Source organism: Homo sapiens, chromosome 5 (genome assembly GCF_000001405.40).
Source record: "Homo sapiens chromosome 5, GRCh38.p14 Primary Assembly".
Taxonomy (NCBI): domain Eukaryota; kingdom Metazoa; phylum Chordata; class Mammalia; order Primates; family Hominidae; genus Homo; species Homo sapiens.
The window spans coordinates 123,335,491-123,359,687 of NC_000005.10; the positions used below are offsets into that span (position 1 = coordinate 123,335,491).

Consider the following 24,197-nt stretch of genomic DNA (forward strand, 5'->3'; position numbering starts at 1 on the left):
AATCTGCTGGTCTGAGGGTTGTGAAGACCATGGAAAAAGCATAGTATCTGGGCTGGAATGCACTGTTCCTCACAGCACAGTCCCTCATGGCTTCCTTTGGCTAGGGGAGGGAGTTCCCCGATCCCTTGCACTGCCTAGGTGAGGCAACACCCCACCCTGCTTCTGCTCACCCTCTGTGGGCTATAGACACTGTCTAATCAGTCCCAATGGGATGAGCCAGGTACCTCAGTTGGAAATGCAGAAATCACCCGCCTTCTGCATTGATCTCACTGGGAACTGCAGACCAGAGCTGTCTCTATTTGGCCATCTTACCAGCCACCCTCTACTCAATATTTTTAGAATTTAATATTTTCGACGGACTAATATATGCTCATTTTTTCTGAATATTTCAAGTAATCTTGTAAAGGTTGATTTTCTGTTCTCTGATTATAGAATGCATATCTGCAAATTATGCCTTTTAATAATATTTAGTGCCAGGTGTGGTGGCTCACACCTGTAATCCCAGCACTTTGGGAGGCTTAGACGGGTGGATCACCTGAGGTCAGGAGTTCGAGACCAGCCTGACCAACATGGTGAAACCCCATCTTAACTAAAGAATACAAAAATAAGCCAGGCATGGTGGCGGGTGCCCATAATCCCAGCTACTTGGGAGGCTGAGGCAGGAGAATCATTTGAACTCGGGAGGCGGAGGTTGCAGTGAGTTGAGATCGTGCCATTTTACTCCAGCCTGGGTGACAGAGCAAGACTCTGTCTCAAAATAATAATAATAATAATAATATTTAGGTCTTCTATGTTCTTATTTTTTTCTCACTCCCTTAATGCAGTGAAGGAAAGAAGCCTGCAAACACAGAGAATCAGAAGCAAGAGCATACAGAGAGGGTCCTCATGGTATTAATCTCAATACCATTTCCACCATTCTTCATTACTGCCATCGTTTTTACATGGCAATTATTTTCTATTTGGTGCTTAGCGATTTCAAAATGGATTTCTGTCACTTACAATAAGAGCATTGATTATGACAATATTCCAGTTCACTAATATTTTCCCTAGCTTTAGTACTTGCTAATCTGTATTTTCTCTTTCCTTCGATAATTTGTTCTTTTCCTTTTGAATTAAATATAATTTCGCAAAGCGCCTCAAATTACCTGTGAAAGGAAGCAAGCTATAAACCTGAACATAATATCAAATAACTCCAAATATAATACTTTTTCCCCTCTGCTGCAGCTGCCTGTCATGGTAGTCTGTGATATATAGAAAAGGTAACTCAGTTTCTGTAGTCTTTGATTCAACATTCAAAGGAGGCTGTGATACATTTTTTAAAGGTTTACTTTTAAAATGGTTAAAATAAGCAGTTTCCAATGGAGTAAATACTAAGCCTCAGTTATCTGGAAAATCTACTTATGTGGAAAAGTACATGCTGGGCGTGGTGGCAGGTGCCTATAGTCCCAGCTACTCCAGAGGCAGGAGAATGGCGTGAACCTGGGAGGTGGAGCTTGCAGTGAGCCGAGATCACACCGCTGCACTCCAGCCTGGGCAACAGAGTGAGACTCTGTCTCAAAAAAATACATGCATACATACATACATACATACATACATACATACATACATACATACATACATACAAAAAGACAACCAAGGGTGGGTTGGCAGCTGTTATTTTAGTACTGGTATTTTTAAAAAATTCAACATCTTTATTTAGGTTTAATTGCCATAAGATAAATACGTGCCACAAAATAGTAAGTGGCACATATTTAAAGTATGCATTTTGAAAATTTTGACATGCATAAACCTGTAAAACTATCACCTGAATCAAAATAATAAACCTATCCATTACCCCTAAAGTTTCCTCATGCCACTTTATAATTCCTCCATCTTGTTCATTTCCTTACCCAGCATCCCAATGGGAAACAACCACTGATCTGCTTTCTGTCACTATAGATTAATTTTCACTTTCTAGAACTTTCTATAAATGGAAGCATACATAATGTACTTTTTGTTGGGCTTCTTTCATTCTGTGTAATTATCCTGAAATTCCTCTATGTTGTTGCATGTTATCAGTAACTCATTTTTATTGAAGAGTAGTATTTAATTGTATGGATATGTCATAGTTCACCCATTCATCTGTTGAAGAACATTTGATTTCTTTTTTAGCTACAAAGCTTTTATGAACATTCATGTACAATTCTTTGTGTGGATGTATGCTTTATTTCCTGAGTAAATACCTAGGAGTCCATGGTCAGTCTATGCAGTCCATTTAATTTTAGCCATTTTAATAGCTGTGTAGCAGTGTCTCATTGTGGTTTTAACTTGCATTTTCCTAATCAGTAAGGATGTTGAGCTTCTTTTCCTGTACTGACTGGGTATCCGTATACGTTTTGTAGTGAAGCATTTATGTAAATGATTTATCTTTTTAAAAATTGAGCTGTTTTCTTATTGACGCTCAAAAATTCTTTATGTATTCTGGATATAAATCCTGTATCAGATATATGATTTGCAAATATTTTCTTCTAAGCATGCCTGGTTTTTTCATTCTCTAATCAGTGTCTTTGAAGTGCAGAGTTCTTAATTTTGATGAAGTTCTATTTATCAGTTTGTTCCTTTATGGATTGTGCTTTTGGTGTCACATGAAAGAAATCTTTGTCTAACTTAAAGCCACAAAGGCTTTCTTCTAGAGGTTTTATAACTTTAGCTTTTACATTTATACCTATGAACTATTTTGAATTAACTTGTGTATACAGAGTGTAGTTGGGATCAAAGTTTAGTTTTTTACTTATGGACATCCAATTTTTCCAGAAGTATTTGTCAAAATGACCATCCTTTCTCCACTGAATTGCCTTTGCACTTTTGTTGAAAATCAGCTGTCTGTGTATGTGTAGTCTTGATTACTGTAGCTTTATAAATCTTGAAATCAGGTAGTATTAGCCTTGCCACTTCTTCTTTCTGAAAGAAAAACAAAATGGGAAGAGTAACACTACCTGATTTCAAGACTTATAAAGATATTCTAGGTGTTTTGTGTTTCAATAGAAATTTTAGAATCAGTTTCTCAATTTTTACAAAAAAGTATGCTGGGATTTTGATAGGGATTACAAAATGACACCCTTAACAACACTGACTGTTCTGACATATAAATATGGCATGTCTCTCTAGTTACTTCAGTCTTCTTTAATTTCTCTCAATAATGTTTTATAGTTTTCAGTGCATAGGTCTTTCACATTTTTGTTATATTTATTCCTAAATACTGCATATTTTTATGGTATTGTTACTGTGTGAGACTAATATAGAGAACTACGACTGATTTTTGGTTATTATTCATATTGACCTTGTATTCTGCAACCTTGCTAAATCTACTTATTAGTTCTAGAAACTTTGTAGATTCCATTGGATTTTTTGAGACAGTCAATCATGTCATCTGTGAACAAGGATAGTTTTGACTCCTATCTTTGCAATCTAGATGCCTTTAGTTTCTTTTTTCTTCTTTATTTCAATAGTTATGAACTTCCAATACACTATTGAATAGAGCAGATGTTCTTGTTTCTGTTCCTGATCTTTGAAGGAAAGCATCTCCCTTTCACCATTAAGTGGGAATTAGCTGTAGGTTGTTCATAGATGTCCTTTATCAGATTGAGGAAGTTCCTCTACATTTACTGGGGAGTTTTTTTGTTTGTTTGTTTGTTTGTTTATGAGGAATGGATACCAATATCCATTTGGTATCCATTTGTCAAATGCTTTTTCTTACTGACCATTAATATCACTTGTCTTAGTCTGTTTGGCCTGTTATAACAAAATGCAAAAGGCCGAGTAGCTTATAAATAACAGAAATTTATTTCTTATAGTTCTAGAGGCTAAGAAATCCAAGATCAAGGTGCTGACAGACCCGGTATCTGGTGAAGGTCCACTGTCTGGTGCATAGATGGTCCCTGATAGCCATGTCCTCACATGGTAGAAGAATGAAGGCAGCTTTCTGGGTCCTCTTTTATAAGGTCACAAATCCCATTAATGGGGACCCCACCTTTATGATATAATCACCTCCCAAAGGCCCCACCTCCTAATATCATCACATTGGTAATTAGGTTTCAACAAATGAACTTTGAGGGACACAAGCATTCAGACCACAGTATCACTTGTACCCCAAATGTCAAAAATGTTATGTTCCATAGAGTGCATTGGACCCTGTGGATTTTAAGGGTACCTTAGAGTCCAACTGAGTTTGCATATACTCACTCCCTCATCCTTTGCTAGCCAACTTTCTTGGAGCACAGGCCTAGAAATAGATTGGGGTGTTCTAGTCTCCTCAATAGGCTTACCTCTGAAGTTCCCTTATGACTAGCAGCTAATCTAATGTAATTTATAACAAATTGCTTCTCTGGTTCAAATAGATTTGGTAATACTTGTAGTTTAAAATTTAGTATCTCCTCTTACTGAATCTGAGAAAGTGTCTCTTGACATAAAATAATTAACATGTATAATTAGAGCTTTTAGTAATAATGCTGTGATTAGAAACTTTTGTATACTGTGCATCATAGCAACTGAAGCTGTCATTAGAAAGGTAGAGCAGTGAGTGTAGATAAAGAAGAAGAAATCTATTTTATTTCTTATTCTTTCTTTGCTATTGATTACATGAAGGCATTGGAGGCCCTCTGACACTTTCATAATTTCTTAATAACAAAGAAATGTGTAAATCTCTTTCCAAGATATCATAATGGGAAGAACAATAGTAATACTTTATACATACCTATGTAAAATTTTAGGCTAAATAAATAGCTTCCGTATAGTTGCTAAATATATACATTTTGGTTGAATGAATTCCTCAATGTATTTGATCACAGTAAAATAGGCAGATTATTCTCTTTTATCTAGTAGAAGGGCACACCATTGGGAATTATACTAAGTGTGTATATGCACTGAGGGTAGCGTTAAAATGCCTACTGCACATATAGAGGAAATTTTAAATTCTGGAGTCATGCCAAAACATACTAGGTTGACAATTGCGTCTCTTCATATTTGCACTGCTGGGATCATAGACATGCTCAGATAGATGTGATAATGACACTGAGGTTCAAGTGACAATATGAGGCAAAAAATAATAGTAGAAGCAGTGGAACCATATAACAATTTTATAGACCTTAGAAGGAAAAAGAAAACATAGACCAAATGAAAATTGGGCGCTAAGCTCTGCCTCTCTTCTCCGTCTCTTTTTCTTTCTTTATGTCTGTCTGCCCCTCTCTCTCTCAGCCTCTCTCTCTCACTCTGAGTGAGTTTTCTAAATAATCTTTTTAAGACAAATTTGGGGTGTCATTGTTCCTGGCAAATACTTATACATTGATAGGGAGATGGAAGAGATAAAAAATGAGGATTGATAATAGACGAAAAGATGGTAGGCTAAATGTGAACTTGCAAATACATTTTTTATTGGCAAAAAGAAAAAAAGTCTGCGGGCTAAATTACTTCTGAAAACTATTTACACATCTATTTCCTATTTGATACTTTTCTTTGTGCGAATTTTACAAATTTCAGTGACCTAAATAAACTTCTGCCAGAAACCAAGAGAAGACCATTAATCTCATCTGCCAACAATGAAGCTAAATCAGGAATTGAAATCTCCTTCCTCAAGGCAACAATTAAATGAATACACCAAGCACACTGCTATACTATCTTCTCTGATCTAAACAGAATGACTAAAGATGTATGCTAATATTAACTCCTCAGATTCTTGATTTGACTTACCATCTGCAGTGCATCACATTTTGCTCACAATATGAACTGAATTCAAGTAATGCGATAATAGTCTTGAGATTCCAAATTTCAAGAAAACAGAAATTTTAGTAACTAAATCCTTCTTTGCAAATTAGTCACAGAAATGAAACTAGTGCTTGAATAATATCTTTAATCCTGCTCAATCTATTCACTAATATGAGAACTTGCTGAAGAATTGTGCAATATACTGCAACCTACTAGACACAGACTCTCACTATTGGGTTGACATTCACTAAAATTTACAATTATGTCAAAGCAAGATTTTATAGTAAAGTTTTATTTGCTTTAGCCAAATTTTAATCTAAACTATTGGGGAAAATTCTGCATTCATCCAGTGCATCTTCATGTTTTTGACTAGTTAACATGTTAATCAAGAAAAGAGCTATGCCGTCCAACTATTAAATAAGTTATTTGGAAAAGAAAAGAAATTTGTCTACGAATGTGTGAGTGAAATGTTTCCAAGAAGAAATTATAAATGGACTCTATTTTAGTTCTCTCCTATTACGAATGACAGGTTTAACATTCTTAGAAACCTTAAGAATACAATAACATCTTTAAAAGCCTCTAGGGATTATTGTACATTAATGTATCAGTCAGTAAATTATTTATCTAAAAATTAATCTTCCTAAACAGATTTCCACCCCCCTTCAATTTGAAAGCTAAACTTCTGAGGAGTCTCCACTTCAGCAACTTCATATCTGAAGAGCCTACATCTGTAAAAACATTTCAAATGAAAACACTAAGACAACCCCCAGAGAAGCAAATAAAATGGGAATTAAGTATATAGCAGCCTTTCTACGGTTACATTCCTAACAACAGCAGATTCTAATTTGATGCCAAACAGAGGTTATGTAACAAAATCAGTGAGCAATCTAGTTCTTTTGGTTTCAGTAGAACATTTAGGTGCTTCAGTAATTCTGTCTCTGTTTCCCCATTTATGCCAATATGGATGGATTGCGTGTCTCCGAGACCTAGAAGCAGAGGGCGCATTAGCTAGGAAGAAGCATGATTGTACACTAGAACAAGTGGCAGAAAAAGTGTACGACGAAACGTCTAGGCTCCAAGGGATATGCTGTTAATACAATTGCCAAAACACAAACGTCAAAGATGGATTTAAATTTTCAAGTCATAATTTAAAATTACTCAGCCAGACTTTAACACTCTTACACAAACCACTTTATTCGTTAATAAGACCATGAACCAACAGTAAGAGAACCTACCTCCAAAAAAAGATACTAAGCCTACTTTAGGGTACTAGTAATATGTGTTGGGTTTTTTTTTTTTTTTTAATTCTCTCTCCAATTTACATCCATGGTCTGGACTATCTGTTAAATTTTAAAAACCATTTTTTTTTCTAAATTGTCATTAAGAATAACAAGACATAATCTTATAAAACATGAAGGCATTACAATTCTAAGTTTCAAGGAGTCTCCAATTTATCTTTAGAACTCAGGATATAAATGTAGCCATTAGTTTTCACTCATTTCAGATTTTGGTAAAGGTGCTATAAGCATTTAATGAAGCATTTTTGATCCATTTCCACAATCAAGAAATGACAAGATGTTATCTTCAGAAATGACTTGACAAGTGACTCTTGTGCAGAAAACTTTCAGCATAAGAACACTGGGTAGGCAGATTTGAGGCACAGTTTGAAGCAAACTTTTAAATTGTGGTAAAATATACAGAACATAAAATGCACCATCTTAATTATTTTTAAGTGTACTATTCAGTGGAATTATTCACAATGCTGTGCAACTATTTCCATTATCCATATCCAGAGCTTTTTCACATCCCAAACAGAAACTCTGGACCTATTGAACAGTAATTCCCCCTTCCTCTTTTCCCCTAGTTCCTTCCAGCCCCTGGAAACCGCTAGTCTACTTTCTGCATCTATGAATTTAAAGCAAACTTTTATTATTATTTTTTTTAAGCAAAAAACAATCCAACAAACAGAACTCCTCCACTTCTATAGGGCATGGGCAGTCAGACAACAAGTTCATAAACCTGTCAGTGAGGCCATGGAGGCCTACTTTCCCCTGCATTTCAGCCGTCAAATTTTTTACATCTATTTTGACAGGTAGACCATACACAATCTTTTCATTTCTTTATGAATTTAGCGAATATTATCTGAGTGCCTACTTATGGCCGGTACTCTTTTAATTCTGGAAGAAACTAAGATAGACCTGGTCGCTGCCCTCGCAGCCCTCACATTCTGGTTAACACTGCTTCACTTTATCTCCAAACTCTGTAAAGCATGGAAGAGTGTGCAATTTTGATGAGATACCAATGATATGACACAAGCCTTGTGTCAATAACCCATTTTCAGCATCAGAATTGCTAGAACATTATCTACTTTTCACTATTATTTTTGGTCAGTGCTTTACAGGTGATAGATACAAGAAGAGTTGAACTCTATTCCCAATGGATGATGAATATTATGATGAATATTATGCCCTTATGTTGGCCTTCTGGATCTCTGTATCATTTAATTCAATATCTGACAAAACATATAGAAACTAGTGATAGAAAAAGATATGCTTTAGGTTTTCTAATATTTTCTATTTTAAATATCCAATTTGGGATTCCATTTATATGAAATGCCCAGAATAGGCAAATCCAAAGGGACCAAAAGATTAGTAGTTAGGGGCTGGGATAGAAGAGAATGAGGAGTGACTGCTAATGGGTACAGGAGTTTCTTTTTGGGGTGATAAAAATGTCTTAAATAGTGGTGGTGGTTGTACAGCCTTGTGACTGTATCAAACACTGAATTTTATACTTTAAAATGGTGATTTTACGTTGTGTGAATTATATCAATTATTTTAATAAAAAATTTAGGTATTCAATAAAGCTAGACACAATGGTATTAGTGAGAACACATCTTTTAAGTCCATATATAGCTACCAGAGGGCCCTTCCTATGGACTGTAAAAAACAGGTCGGTCCATTCTGAAGTGGCTGCAAACAAGCAGTATATACTGGGACAATCTGTGAATTCAGATTCAGGCTGGGCAGCATCTGGACAGGAAGTAGAGGAGAAAATCATCTGGTCAGACAAGACTGTCTCCCCATCAGCAGAGGCCCTAATACGTCCTTAAATCACACTCAAACCCCCACATCTGCTTGAAGCAACAGGAATTCGGGTCCAGATAGAAATTACTAGGATTTATCTGCAAGGGAACTCCTATGTTTATACAGACATGGTATTAGATATACCTGGTAGATTACACACCCCTCCTATGCAGTACATGCCCGCATTAAACATGGAAACTAGACTTTCTCCATGAAAAACCACAGAAATTTTAAAGGTAAATCTGATTTTACCCTAAAATATTTGATATTTTCCTGTTACTAGGAAACTTATTCACCCACCCATGCCTGCACCCACTCACTGATTTATCTACTGTGGTCATACTCATTAACTCCTAGGCAAAATCAGTGTAAAAACATTCGATGCCACTTACAAATGGAATGGGTATTGCTAAAAGGACTACAAAACAGTGTTAATATTTCAGACTCCCCTAGTTGTAAGACAAAAAATAGTATGTAAACACTTGAGAAAAAAAGACAGTCATTTGAAATAGGAAAACCCGAACACTATGCCCACTCTGTTTAGAAACAGAAGTAACAGGCTGCTCAAGAACTCAGAGATGCACACAATTATGATTTTATTTGTTAAGTTACAATAGCCAAAAGAGCTTTACAAAAGGCAAAATAAACTACACATCCATTTTAGAAAAGTCCTTTTTATTTCTTTAAATCAGAGGCCCCCTCTAGCGTTTGAAAGCAGTCACAGGCAACACACAATGCAATTGAAAGTAAACAGTCACAGCATTTTACCGCAGACCTTCCAAAACATAAGGCTTGCTTCTGTTCCATTCAAGTGGCACAAAAATCAATGAGAGAAAAATAGCTAACCATAATTAATATTGCAAATTCCTGCTATGATTCAGATTCATTATCCTCTCATTCAGTAATTTCTTTATTATTTACTGCTGGGTTATTTTTTACTAGATTAATACTCTGTTAATAAGGAAAAAATATATAATAAATATAGGGACTTTAATTTCCCTAATAAGAAATATACCTCATTTGAAATGACCGAAAATTAATGTTACCATATATCCTACTCTGCTTTGATGGAAGTTATTGGTAACTTCCTAAAGTATATACTTAATTTTAACTTTATTATATTTGGAAATCAGAACTTTTTAAAGTACATATATTTTGAAATTCAACCTAATCTGTGACTTTGCTAAAACTTTTTCAGTACTCAGTAAAAGGAGGTGGGAAACGTTGCTTTGAGGACAAATGTTGGCTCTGAAGAATATGATATAAAGGAACTCTTAAGAGTTTTTATACAGACAGGGCACTGCATAAATCCAATGAGTGAATCTCGTGCGCTTTTGAAAACGATTGATTGAAATTAGCGGGAGTAAAAAATAGTTGATTTTCACTCTATTTTTTCAGCTAATGTCTTTATGTGTCTGTTTCCATGTTCTATTACAGAGGGTTTAAGCTGACAGCTAGTATTACTATAACTGGAAAATAAAAAGAAATCTCTAATTTTAACAAAAGAAAACAATGCAAACTTGAGGAAGAAACCAACAGAGAAAACTATATTAAGCTAATACTTCATGTTCTTAAAAGTTATAAATACACTGAAAATTTGAAAATTCAATAGCTCTTGAAACAAATTTAATCTGTATTAACTTTATTTAAATAAATGACCAATCTGTCACCCAACATGTCATGTGGCTTCTCTGCACTGATCTTGCTTTGTTTTCAAACTTGTCACTTGCAAATATTATAAGAAAAAAAGGTCATCTAAAATGAGTTAAACTGGTTACAATTGGTCTCAACTTTTAAGAATTTACATTCAAATGGAATAGGACGCAGCGTTTTTAAAGTGCAAGATATACTCTTTTGGCTCAACATGAAACATTATAGAACTGGAAATTACCGCAGTCATTTCTCCTACAACAAACTTAGTTAAAAGCTGTTTTGAAAGTTAGTTAGCCATCAGATTATAAACTATGAAAAACACTGAAAAGTCATTTAAAATGAGTATATAAATGCAAATTACAAATAAAACCAGTGTGGGAGAGGTAGCATAAAGTAAATAAGATCAAATAAATACTATACAATAACATACAAAATTTTGCTTATAAAAAATTGAAAATACCATTTTAAAACATCCATTTTCCTCACTTTTGAGGTTTTTACAAAGAAATTAAAATTTAGACTTAGAGTCTCTATAAAGCTTTTCCAAATGTTATTAATTACTGGCATTGCTTTTTGCCAAAATCTCTCTGATCTGTCGGTCGAGTTCACTTATTATTCGATCCTCGTGATTATACACACCCGTTCTCATCAAAGTATCCCTTTCTTCTATCAGGCGAGTCAAATAATCATCCAAACCTTCTTCCAATACACTGCCATGGGGGCCATCCTTTTTTCCACTTGCAATCTCTGTGGAATCCTGGTATTGTTTTTGCTCTTGTTGCCTTAACCTGAGAAGTCAAGAACAAATGCCACTGTAGCAACTGTGTTGGTTTTCTTAATGTCACTATTTAAAAACAAAATGATTCAATGGTAAGACAAGGTTTTAGTAATATTTTCAGGAAGAAAACAAACCAAAAAAAACCAGTGTTCCACTTGGCTAGTCAGAGTCTGCACATTTATAAAAGGCAACTTTAAAAACAATACTTGTTTTTCTAATTACAAATACATGAAAACTAGATATTTTGGAGCTGTGACAAAATACATGAAAACTAGATATTTTGGAGCTGTGTAAAGACAATAAAAATCATCTGTAATGTGATCCCAATTTGAGTAATATTTTTCTGTATTTTCAAGTTTAAAAAATGCATATATGTACTTAAAATATGTATTTTTTGAAAAACTTGATACTACATATGCAATTCTGTATACTACTTTTCTCATTTATATAGAGATTTTTTAATATCATTAAATGTTCCTCTAAATTGTTTTATAATATTCCATCATTTGGGGTATCATCATTTAGTCATCCTTTATTATTGGTCTTTAGGTTGCTCCTAAACCTTTGTTGTTGTATTGAACATATTTTTAAAAATTCATTCAACAAACATTTATTTGTGCCAAACACGTTTTGGGGATAGTGCAGTGAACCAAGAAAAAAATTCCCTACTATTATGGAGTTGAGTTGTATCTCTATTTGTAGAAAGTGAAATTCTTTACATATGCCTAGTTCAAAGGGCATATGCATGTTAAGGTTTTGTATGGATATCTTCAAGTTATGTTTGTTATAATCTCATTTGGGGATAAGAAAAGGAGAGTAGATGCTGACCTGCGATTTGGGTATTTCCAATAGAATACTGTTGATCAAACTGTCTTGAAACTGGAGCAGTAATAATAATACTTAGTATATTTTGTTTGTTTGAGACAAGGTCTCACTCTGTCGCCCAGGCTGGAGTGCAGTGGTGTGATCACAACTCACTGCAGCCTCGACCTCCTGGGCTCAATGGATCTGCCCACCTCAGCCTCTCGAGTAGCTGGGACTATAGGCCATGCCACCACACCCGGCTAAATTTTGTATATATATATTGTTTTTAGAGACGACATTTCATTATGTTTTCCAGGCTGGTCTCAAACTCCCTCACTCTCTTAACCACTTCTTGGATGGCATGATATATTGCCCCTTACTGTCCTGGTCACATGCCATTGGAAGCTCTCTAGGTAGCTGATTTCCCTTAAAGTGTGTTGCACAGTGGTAAGAACACCCCAGAGGTGATTTACCAGTACTGAATACTGAACACTACTTCCATGAACGTCCCTAACTGCACTGACTCTTCGGTAGCCAAATCACACCATTATTAGAGGCCACGTAAGTTCTCCTAGGCTTCTTCACATGAACTGTTTTATATCTTATCTATCACTTAAGTGATTTTTCTTATAGCTTATACAGAGGACTCTGCTTTTGTCTCTAATATATTTAATCTTGTTGGTTTCAGTTCTCTCAGAATCCTAATTTATTAAGACATTAGTAAGATTCAATTGTATATGATCTACAAATTTGATAGGCAACATGGATATCTTTAACCCACCAAAACAGTGCTTAGCAAACAGCAGGAGCTAAATATATATTTGCTAAACTAGAACCAAGAAAGTGCTATATTTTGGAAGGCAAGGATATTATAATTCATTAATTTGTAATATCTTCCAAGTCTACAACATGGTAGATACCAAATAAATATTTCCTGAATAAATGAGAATAAAAGTACCACAGATTGAATGCTGTTAAGCACGGTCCTTAAAGCTGACCTTTTGCAACTGGTATTTCTTCAATTATCTTTTAAATATAGTTATTTAATTCAGCTAGGAACCCACTTAATATAGTGACCACATTTTTCTCCACTTCATACATGGAGATATAATAAGATACTGTTTTAAATGTAATGTGTAGGCTCTGAACTGTGTCCCTGTCAAATTCAGATGTTGAACCCTTAACCTCTAATGTGATGGTATTTGGAAATGGACCTTTGGGAGACAATCAGGTTTAGATGAGGTCATGAGGGTGAACTCTCATCATGGGATTAGTGCTCTCCTAAGAAGAGACACCAGAGAGAGGACACAGTGAGAAGGTGGGTCTCTAAAACCAACCACACTGGCACCGTGATCTTTGACTTCTAGCCTCTAGTACTGTGAGAAAATAAACTTCTGTTTAATCTACCCAGTCTGTGGTATTTTTTTTTAACCAGTCCAAGTTAACTAAAACTGCACTTTGCTCAAAGAAAAATATACTAGACCCTTGATAAACTAAGCTAAGAAGTCTTCCCCCAAAACCACCCTCCAAAAAGACTAGAATTCATTTTTATGCTGCTTCCTAGTGATTACTTTTCTAACATGAAACACTTGAAGTTGTGATTCAGATGAACGCAGCACTACAGAGAAGCCCAGTGTAGCACAGTAGTTAAAATGCAATCTCTGGAATCGGATCTGAACTCTGGCTCCATGATTTACTAGCTACATGATCTTGAATAATGTTTAAGCTCTGTCTTTAATCTTCAATCTCTTCATCTTGAAAATGGTGAAAATATCTTCCTCACAAAGTAGCTTTGAAGATTTAAAAAAAAAGGGCCGGGCAATATAAGACATTTAAAACAGCTCCTGGCACAAAGTAAGAGCTCATTAAGAGCTATTGTTACAGATATTAATAATATAACAAAATTTGAAATTTCTTATACTTTATATAAGTGAAGACTCAGTTTAATAGTAGCAATAATCCTGATATCATCACACAAAAATAAATTTTAAAGTAGTAATGCTATAAATGGAAACACAAGAGCTGAATGGACTTGCCATAGCTGTATTCACAGGAAAAAAAAAGTTTAATAGTCTTTGGCATAGACTTTTTTTCTTTCTTTTTAGATTTGACACAAGGTCTCACTCTGTCACTCAGGCTGGAGTGCAGTGTGGCATGATCACAGCTCACTGCAGCCTGGAACTCCTGGGCTCAAACGATCCTCCCACCATCCTCTCAAAGTGCTAGGATTACAGGCATGCGCCACAGTACCCAGCTGGCATAGATTTTCTATTGTATATGTCTGCTACATTTTATATATTTTTATATATGATCTACTTTATCCTTGGGAGACCTCAAGTTGTACCTTCCCTGAACCAAACTTTGGCTTTTGAAAGAAACACTTTTAGTTATTATACCTGTTCAATTCATTTCTTATATCCAACAATTCTTGTCGCTCGGTTTTTACTGTATCTTTTTCCTCAGCGGCAAGGTAACGTAGTCTCATCTGTTCCAATTCTTCCTGCTGTTTTTTAAGACGAGCCATTTGACTTTCTTGCTCCCTCTTGAAAGAAACAAAGAAACAAGTCATATCCTTAATATTAGGAACAAATATTTTATATGACTTTGACTTGTGATTATAATCCTATTTGACAACACCCATGATATAGCCACACACTGCCAATTCTTTTTTTTTTTAACAGAGTCTCACTGTGTTGCCCAGGCTGGAGTGCACTGGCTAGTCACAGGAGCAACGAAGCACACTACAGCCACAGACTACTAGGTTCAAGCAATCCTCCTGCTTCGGCCTCTGGGCCCAAGTAGGAGTATCTGGGCCCAAGGTGTGTGCCCACCCTTGCACTGCTAATTTTATGAGTTATATATTAACCAGAAATACCCAGCTAGGTTTTCTCTAAACACTCTATTCTCTTTTACTATAAGTCATAATCCTTCAATCAGTGATTGATATTAGCTGACTATCACAGGACAACGGAAGTTGAAGGCAAGAAAGAGGGTGCTATCAATACAATGAACTGTCAATACAATGAACAGCCAAAAGGCTAGTGGTAAGAGCAGCATCTGAGAAAAACATTATACAAAGATGTACCTAGAAAAATTCAATAACTGTCCCTATACAAATCACTAATTCCACTCCTACTTCAGTAAATATGCCTTTCCACTCTGTTCTCCAGACTCATACAAAAACCTATGCACATATATTCTTAAACAAAAATGAAAACAAACAATACATTCTAGTTTGCATTTTTAAAAAAGTTTAACAATTCTTCAGGTCAATAGATAAAGTCTTTTAAAATAAATGAGTAACATTCCACATAATGGATATTCCATGACTTATTCAACCACTTTCTCAATAACAGACACTTTTGCTACTACAAACAATGCTGTAATAGGACACCTTGTCATCTATCACACAGTTAGCTCAGGAATCCTTACGTCATTTTCTTTTGTTTAGGACAGAATCCCAAAGTGGGAGACCTGAGTCAATAGGTTTTTGTTAACTATTTTTTTAAAGTATTTATTGAATTGTAACAAACAGAAAACTGCCAAATGACAAGGTACATTTTGATATACTTTCACAAAGTAGACCACTCACATACCCACCATCCAGATCAGACTGCCAGAATCCCAGAAGTCTGTGTCTCCTCCCAGTCACTAACCATTCACCTTTTCCCAACAATAACTACTACCCTAATTTTAAAAACAAAAATAAGTTTTGAACTTAACACAGAATCTATACAGTATGTATTTGTGTCAGGGTTCTTTCATTTAACATTGTTTTTGAGACTCATTGTTCTCTGTAGTTAATCATTTACATTATTATACAGCATTCCATTGAATGAATATACAATTTATTCATTCCACTGCTGAAGGACATTGGGCAGTTTCCAGTTTTGAATTATAAATAATGGTGATGTGAAGATTTTATACATGTCTTTTGGAACACATTTGTATGCATTCCTACTGGATATATACATAGGCTTCAAATTGCGTGGTCAGAGGATATAAGAATTACAACAGCATTAGTAAATAGAGGTTTTAGTATCCTTTATCTGAAATGCTTGGGGCCATAAGTGTTTTGATTTTGAAATATTTGCATATACATAATGAGATATCTTGGGGATGGGACCATCTAAACATGAAATTCATTTATGTTTCACATATACCTTGTATACACAGCCTGAAAGTAATTTTACATAACGTTTTACACAATGTTTTAAATAATTCTGTGTGAACTGTCACATAGGGTCAGGTGTAGATTTTTCCACTTGTGGTGTCCTGTCAGGGCTCAAAAAGTTCAGATTTTGAAGCATTTCCGATTAGGGATGTTCAACCTGTATTTCCAAACAGTTTGCAAAGTAGTCTTATCAATTCATACTTCCACTTGAGCATTCCAATGCTTTATATTCTTGCCAACACTTCATAATGTCATTTTTTTTCATTTTAGCCATTTGACAGGTTACATAGTAGTATCTCATTGTGATTTTATTTTGCACTATTCAAAGACCAGTGAGGTTGAACACGTTTCAATAGTTTTAATGACATTTAGGTATCTTTGTTCATAAAGTTCCTATTTAAGCTTTTGGTACTTTACTTGGTTGTCCATCTTCTGTTATTGATGTTTATAAATACTGGATAAGCCCTTCATCAATTATATAAATTACAACTATTTCCCAGTAGTCTTCGGCCTGTCTTTTTACTCCATTAATGTTTTTTAATAAAGAGAAGTCCTTAATTTTAACATAGTTCAGATTTTTCTGTTTATTCCTTTTTGGTTAACCGTGCTCTTTCCTATTTAAGACATTTTTTTTGCCTGTCTCAATCTTGAAGATATTCTTTTATGTTACCCTTTTGAAGTTTCACTTTTTGCCCATGTAGAGCTCAAACTGACCTAGCAACATTTATTGAAAAACACCTCTTCTCTTGTTGCTTGGCAGTTATCACCTGTCACATATCACCTCTGTCCATATATGTATGTTTTTGTTTCTGGATGCTCTAAACTGATCTATTTATCCTTACATTAACACTACACTGTTTTAATTACTGTAACTCTTGTAACAATGTCTCAATATACGACAGTTCTTCTACATTTGCTTATTCTTCAAAATGATTTTAGCTATTCTTGGCTCTTACATTTTCACATAAATTTCCATTTCTAAGGCTAAAAAAAACCTGCTGAGATTTTATGATGATTATATTGAATCCACAGATCAATTTGGCCAAAACCAGTGTCTTTAAAATACTGATTTTTCAATCAATGGAATGGTTTACCTAATTATGTAGGTCTTTTGATAATAGTTTATAGTTCTCTATATGCTAAGACTAACATATTTCTTTGATTATATTTTAGATGGTAGAGCTTTACAATTTTCACTTCCTAATTGCCTCTAGTAGACAAATAACATTGATTTTTACACACTGACTTTGTTTCCAGCAAACTTGCTAAACTCACTTATTCCTAATAGGTCAATGTAGATACTTTTTAGCTCTCTAAATACATCTGTGTTATCTGCAAATAAGGGTAGTTTTATTTTTTCCTTTCCAAATGATACAGTATTTCTTTTTCTTGCCCTATTACACTGGCTAGAACACCTCTAATACAATGTTGAAAAGAAACGGTAATAGAGGGAAGGTTTCTCTCATTTCTGATCTCAGAAGAAAGTTCCATTATTTTAAGAATGTTTTTTGTAGGCTTTATGTAAAAACTCTTTATTAGATTAACAAATTTCCTGTCTAGTCTTAGTTTGTTAATGAATATGACTTTTTCTGCAGCTATTGATATGATTTTTTTCTCCTTTAATCTTTGAATGTGGTAAATAACCAAGCTTGCATTTGTTTAGTAAATAAACTTCGTTGTGATGCTTACAAGTTTAATATCTTAAACTTGTATCTTTAATGTTTTAAAAGACTGGCCAATTAATTTTGTCCTTGTAAGCTTTTAGGATCAAGGTTATGCTAGTCTCATTAAAAAAAAAGTAAGCATTTTTCACTTCCCATTTTCTAAAATCTTTGTGTAAGATTAGTGTTATTTCTTCCTAAAATGTTTACTAAAATTCAAATGTGAAGACATATGGGTCTGGAGCCTTCTTTGTGGGCAGGTTTTTTATTAGATTCAATTTCTCTAATAGCTATAAGACTATTTCTATTTTCTGTTTCTTGGTGTATCAGTTTTGGAAGTTCTTCTTTCAAATTCACATGAAATTGTTCATACTATCCTCTTATCTCTGTAAATGTCTTTGAGATCTATAGTCTTGTCTCTTTTTTCAATTCCTGATATGGGTAGTTACTGTCTATTCTTGTCCTTGAATACTTGCTAAGGCGGGGTTGGGGTCCTTTCAAAGACATGACTTTTGGCTTCATTGATTTTTCTTGTACATTTTCCCCCATTTCATTAATTCTATTCATCTTATTTCCTTGCTCCCATTTTACTTTCTTCTTGTTCTACTGAGTTTTTGAAAGGAATATTTAGAGAGCAGATTTATTGTCTTATTTTCTAAACACAACTGTGGTTATACATTTCCCTCTAAGCACAGCTTTCACTAAATCCCACACTTTGATGTGTTTTATGTGCACTATTTTTCAGTTCAAAGTATTTTCTAATTTTACTGTGGTCTCCAGTTTACCATGGGTTACGAGAAGTATACTACTTAATATTCACTCATTTGGGGACATTTCTTATTATCTTTTTATTTCTAGCTAAATATCACTGTGGTCAGAGAACATATTCTAAATTACAATCTTCTGGAATGTGTTGAGAATTGTAGTTTAATCCAACATATAAGCAACTTCGCTAAATGTTCCATGTGCACTAGAAAATAGTGTACATTCTGGACTTTTTTGATGAAGTGTTCTAGAATATACCAATGGTTAGTTGTGTTGCCCAAATCTTCTACATTATTACTTATTTTCGGTCTGTTTGCACCATCAGTTCTCAGGAGAGTTATGGTAAAATCTTCTATCATTATAGATTTACCTATTTCTCTTTTTAGCTCTATTAATTTTTTTTATCTAATTTGTTGCTGTGTTACCAGGTACAAATGTAGAACTGTTGTCATCTTCCAGGTGGATTAACCCCCTTTTATAACTATGAAAACTCCCTTTACCTACAGTAAAATGCCTCTCGCCCTATAAGTCTGGTTTGCCTAATATTAAGTATCGCTAGACCAGCTTTCTCTTACTTAGTATTATTGTAGTATATATTTTCCTTCTGTTAGAATTCAACCATCCTATGTTTTTTTTTTAAATATATTTTTATTATACTTTAAGTTCTAGGGTACATGTGCACAACATGCAAGTTTGTTATATATGTATACATGTGCCATGTTGGTGTGCTGCACCCATTAACTCGTCATTTAGCATTAGGTATATCTCCTAATGCTATCCCTCCCCACTCCCCCCACCCCACAACAGTCCCCAAAGTGTGATGTCCCCCTTCCTGTGTCCATGTGTTCTCATTGTTCAATTCCCACCTATGAGTGAGAACATGCGGTGTTTGGTTTTTTGTCCTTGCAATAGTTTGCTGAGAATGATGGTTTCCAGTTTCATCCATGTCCCTACAAGGGACATGAACTCATCATTTTTTATGGCTGCATAGTATTCCATGGTGTATATGCGCCATATTTTCTTAATCCAGTCTATCGTTGTTGGACATTTGGGTTGGTTCCAAGTCTTTGCTATTGTGAATAGTGCCACAAGAAACATACGTGTGCATATGTCTTTATAGCAGCATGATTTATAATCCTTTGGGTATATACCCAGTAAGGGGATGGCTGGGTCAAATGGTATTTCTAGTTCCAGATCCCTGAGGAATCACCACACTGACTTCCACAATGGATGAACTAGTTTACAGTCCCACCAACAGTGTAAAAGTGTTCCTATTTCTCCATATCCTCTCCAGCACTTGTTGTTTCCTGACTTTTTAATGATCGCCATTCTAACTGGTGTGAGATAGTATCTCATTGTGGCTTTGATTTGCGTTTCTCTGATGGCCAGTGATGATGAGCATTTTTTCATGTGTTTTTTGACTGCATAAATGTCTTCTTTTGGGAAGTGTCTGTTCATATCCTTCGCCCACTTTTTGATGGGGTTGTTTTTTTCTTGTAAATTTGTTTGAGTTCATTGTAGATTCTGGATATTAGCCCTTTGTCAGATGAGTAGGTTGCAAAAATTTTCTCCCATTCTGTAGGTTGCCTGTTCACTCTGATGGTAGTTTCTTTTGCTGTGCAGAAGCTCTTTAATTAGATCCCATTTGTCAATTTTGGCTTTTGTTGCCATTGCTTTTGGTGTTTTAGACATGAAGTCCTTGCCCATGCCTCTGTCCTGAATGGTATTACCTAGGTTTTCTTCTGGGGTTTTTATGGTTTTAGGTCTAACATGTAAGTCTTTAATCCATCTTGAATTAATTTTTGTATAAGGTGTAAGGAAGGGATCCAGTTTCAGCTTTCTACATATGGCTAGCCAGTTCTCCCAGCACCATTTATTAAATAGGGAATCCTTTCCCCATTTCCTGTTTTTGTCAGGTTTGTCAAAGATCAGATAGTTGTAGATATGCGGCATTATTTCTGAGGGCTCTGTTCTGTTCCATTGGTCTATATCTCTGTTTTGGTACCAGTAGTACCATGCTGTTTTGGTTACTGTAGCCTTGTAGTATAGTTTGAAGTCAGGTAGCATGATGCCTCCAGCTTTGTTCTTTTGGCTTAGGATTGACTTGGCAATGCAGGCTCTTTTTTGGTTCCATATGAACTTTAAAGTAGTTTTTTCCAATTCTGTGAAGAAAGTCATTGGTAGCTTGATGGCAATGGCATTGAACATTCCATGCTCATGGGTAGGAAGAATCAATATCGTGAAAATGGCCATACTGCCCATCCTATGTTCTTATATTTAAGGTGTACCTCTTACAAAGCATATTGTTAGCTTTTTAAAATTCAGCTTTTAAATATCTGTCTTTAATGGGAGCATTTGGTCCACTTAAAGCATTTGCTGATATAGATTTAAATCTTTCCATCTTATGATTTTCTATTCATTCCACCTATTTTATGTTCCTTCTTCTCTCTCCTTTTAATCAAATAATTTGTCATTCAGTTTTCACCCTCAATCTTGTTACTAAATCATTTTTAACTCTTTTTTTTAGAAATATGTATCCCTCAATTAACAGAACCTAATTAGGACCCTTTCAACTTCAGATAATGCAACATACTTTAAACATTTCACTCTCTCTCTTTGTATTTTTGCACTATTTTTGTCATAAATTTTAATTCTATGTATATTTTAAAGTCAACAAATACTGTTATTGTTGTTTTCCTACAACCAATATCCATTTACAGTTAGCCTGATATTTAATTTCCATTGTTCTTTACTTTTCTGCATTTCAAAGCTTTCATTTGGGATCATTCTTCTTCTGCCTGAAGAACCCAGGTATTTCTTTTGCTTCAGATTTGCCATGACAAATTCTGCCAATTTTTGTCAGTCTGAAGTCTTTCATTTGTAAATAATGCTTTTACTGGGTAACAAAATTTTAGTTCAGCAATCGTTTTCTTTAGTACTTTAGGGATGCTATTTTACTGTCTTACAAATTTCTTTATTTTTGTTAAAAAGTCATCTGTCAGTCTTATCATTGCTCCTTTGAAGGCAATGTATCTGTCCACCCCTGCCTGCAACAGCTTTTAAGGTTTTTCTTTGCTTTTTGTCAATTTTGCTGTGATGCATCTAGGTAGGCTTACTTTGTATTTATCCTGCTTGCAGTTCATAGATATTTTTGAATCTATGAAGTGATATCTTTTTTACTTTTGGAAAATTCTTAGCCAGTATCTCTTTAAATATTGCTTTCTCCCCATTCTTTCTCCAATTACACATAAGATAGTCTCAAAATATACCACTTCTCTAATACATTTCTTCATCATATCACCTATTTTCTAGAGTATAATAATGGTAGTATTTCAAACTTCTTGTCTGATATTCCAAAATCTGAATTACACTTGTTGATTAATTTGTAATGAGCACAAGACATAAACAGGCACTCCACAGATGAAGAAATGTAAGTGGCGTGGCAAAACCCTGTCTTTACAAAAATTAGCCAGGCATGGTGACGTGCACCTGTAGTCCCAGATACTTGGGAGGCTGAGGTGGATGACCTGAGCCTAGGAGGTCGAGGCTGCAGTGAACTGTGAATACACCACTGCCCTCCAACTTGGGTGACAGACCTTGTTTGAAAAGCAAACGTAGGAAAAGATGCTCAAAGTTATTAGTAACTAGAGGAATGAAAATGTAAGTAAGTCCCAATGTGACACTACTTGGGGCCAACCAAACTGAAAAATTTAAGACATCTGACAATAGCCAATTATTGGCAAAAATGTGAAGGACAAGAACAATTATATGCTACTACTGGGAATTATAAATTAGTATAACCACTTTAAAGATAATTATGTAATATTTAGTGAAGCTGAAGAAATGAATGTCCCCTAGTACCAGAAATTCTCTTTTTAGCTATAAATACTACTGAAACTCTTACAGGTACTAACACATTCAGTGTTCTCTTATCCTGGATAAAATTGTGCAATATTTATAGAGAATGACTCTATGTATATAAAGGTTCAAAACATACAAAACTAAGCAATGTTGTTTGCAAAAAGACTTTTAATATATCTTATGTTACAAAATTATGACAAAAAGCAAAGGAATAATAAATATCAAATTCAGGATAGTGGTTACCTCTGGAAAGAGAAGACACAGTTGAGAAAGGGACACAGAGGGCTTCCAAAGCATTCATCATAATGCTCTGTTTCTTAAACCAGGAGGCAGGTGGAAAGAGTAGAAGAACCTTCTTTGAAATGTATATTTCATTTTAAAGTTATTTAAAAAGAAAAACATATCTGGACAAAAATACACCAAACTGTCTTCTTTGGCTGAGGAGAGGATAAGATTGCTGGTGATCTGTAGTGTCTATGTTATATGGTGCTGCAAATTGGCTTTTTAAAAAATTTTTACAATGAGTAAATATGACTGCAAGCAGGAAATAAGTAATAAAAGTTGATTATTAGCTTTAGATTACTCTATAAAAGTAAGTTTTTGATAAATTTTAACATTTTCTAAAACGTAAGAAAATCCTTTAAATGCTTTGAATTTTTAATCAAGTATAGGGCATTAATAATAATCACACACACACACAAGTTAGAGGGTAGTGAAAGAAGTCCTCTCCAGTGCCAGGTGCTCTGGGTTAAAGGCTCCTCAATCAAGTGAGTATAATCTTTATTTTGCCTTGGCTGCCTATAAATCCAGAAAGGAGATGTAAACATACATACACTAGACTAAACAGCGGCTAAAAAGTGGCCACTACTTACTCTCCCACTCACACATACCATGTAAGTCTGTGGGAAAAAACTTACAACTAAACTAAGGAACTCAAGTAAAGTTTTCTGAAAATAACCCAGAGCTGACAAGTCAGTAGGAGGGCCTGGATGGTTTCAAGACACAGTTTTTAACCAAGACTTGGACCTCCAACTGTTTTCTTAAACAAAGATTTACATCCCATGCTTGGCTAAATTACTTATAAATTAATCAAATTAATTACTCAGAGTGGATAAGCAGGAGGCTGGACAAGATAGTGCTGATGTCAGCCAATGAAGTCTGTGTTGTTTTAACTAAATATATCAGCTCAGTTTTAAACAGATCTACTGTGCACAAATATGGTAAGGGACCCACAATCCTTCCCAAAACATTAATTCTCTTTCCTGTCCTGGGAACAAACATACCTACTCTGAATATATCTGACATAAAAATGTTAAATTGTCTACAACAAACTCATACTTCATAACAATGCTTCATTTATTTTTTAAAAAGTAGGTTTTATTCTGCTTAATGATATTCTAAGATGTCAAGAAACGTTTTTAAGTAAATATGCAAATATGTTGTTTAGAGCACAAGTAGGAAAGCAGACAACTTCACTTGAGTATTTGTAGACCAATGCAATTCAAGTATTTGTTTTGGTTTTAAAATATTTCTATAGTATATCTTGAAGAAGAAAAAAAGCAAACTAAATTACCTCTTACAAGTCTAACAAGTAGAACTTTTAACTTTGTCCCATGATATCAAACTTAAGGGTATCACTTCCTCGTTTTCTAAATCAGGACTCATTTTATGTTATGCTT

At 34.7% G+C, this 24,197-nt stretch overlaps 1 protein-coding gene across 11 annotated transcripts in view; it reads right to left on the minus strand.

The window, feature by feature from the left end:
- Positions 9,402 to 24,197, minus strand: part of CEP120 (centrosomal protein 120) — a 78,951-nt gene continuing 64,155 nt past the window's right edge. For 9 of the 11 annotated variants that reach the window (NM_001166226.2, NM_153223.4, NM_001375408.1 and 6 more), the window contains 2 exons: positions 14,454 to 14,599; positions 9,402 to 11,263 (listed from right to left, as the gene is read on the minus strand). In NM_001166226.2, coding sequence (NP_001159698.1) covers positions 11,029 to 11,263; positions 14,454 to 14,599 — 381 coding nt within the window. In that variant the 3' untranslated portion in view covers positions 9,402 to 11,028. Of the gene's footprint in view, positions 11,320 to 14,453; positions 14,600 to 22,761; positions 22,956 to 24,197 lie in introns of all 11 variants that reach the window. The other 2 variants (NR_164685.1, NM_001375407.1) reach the window with 2 other exon arrangements.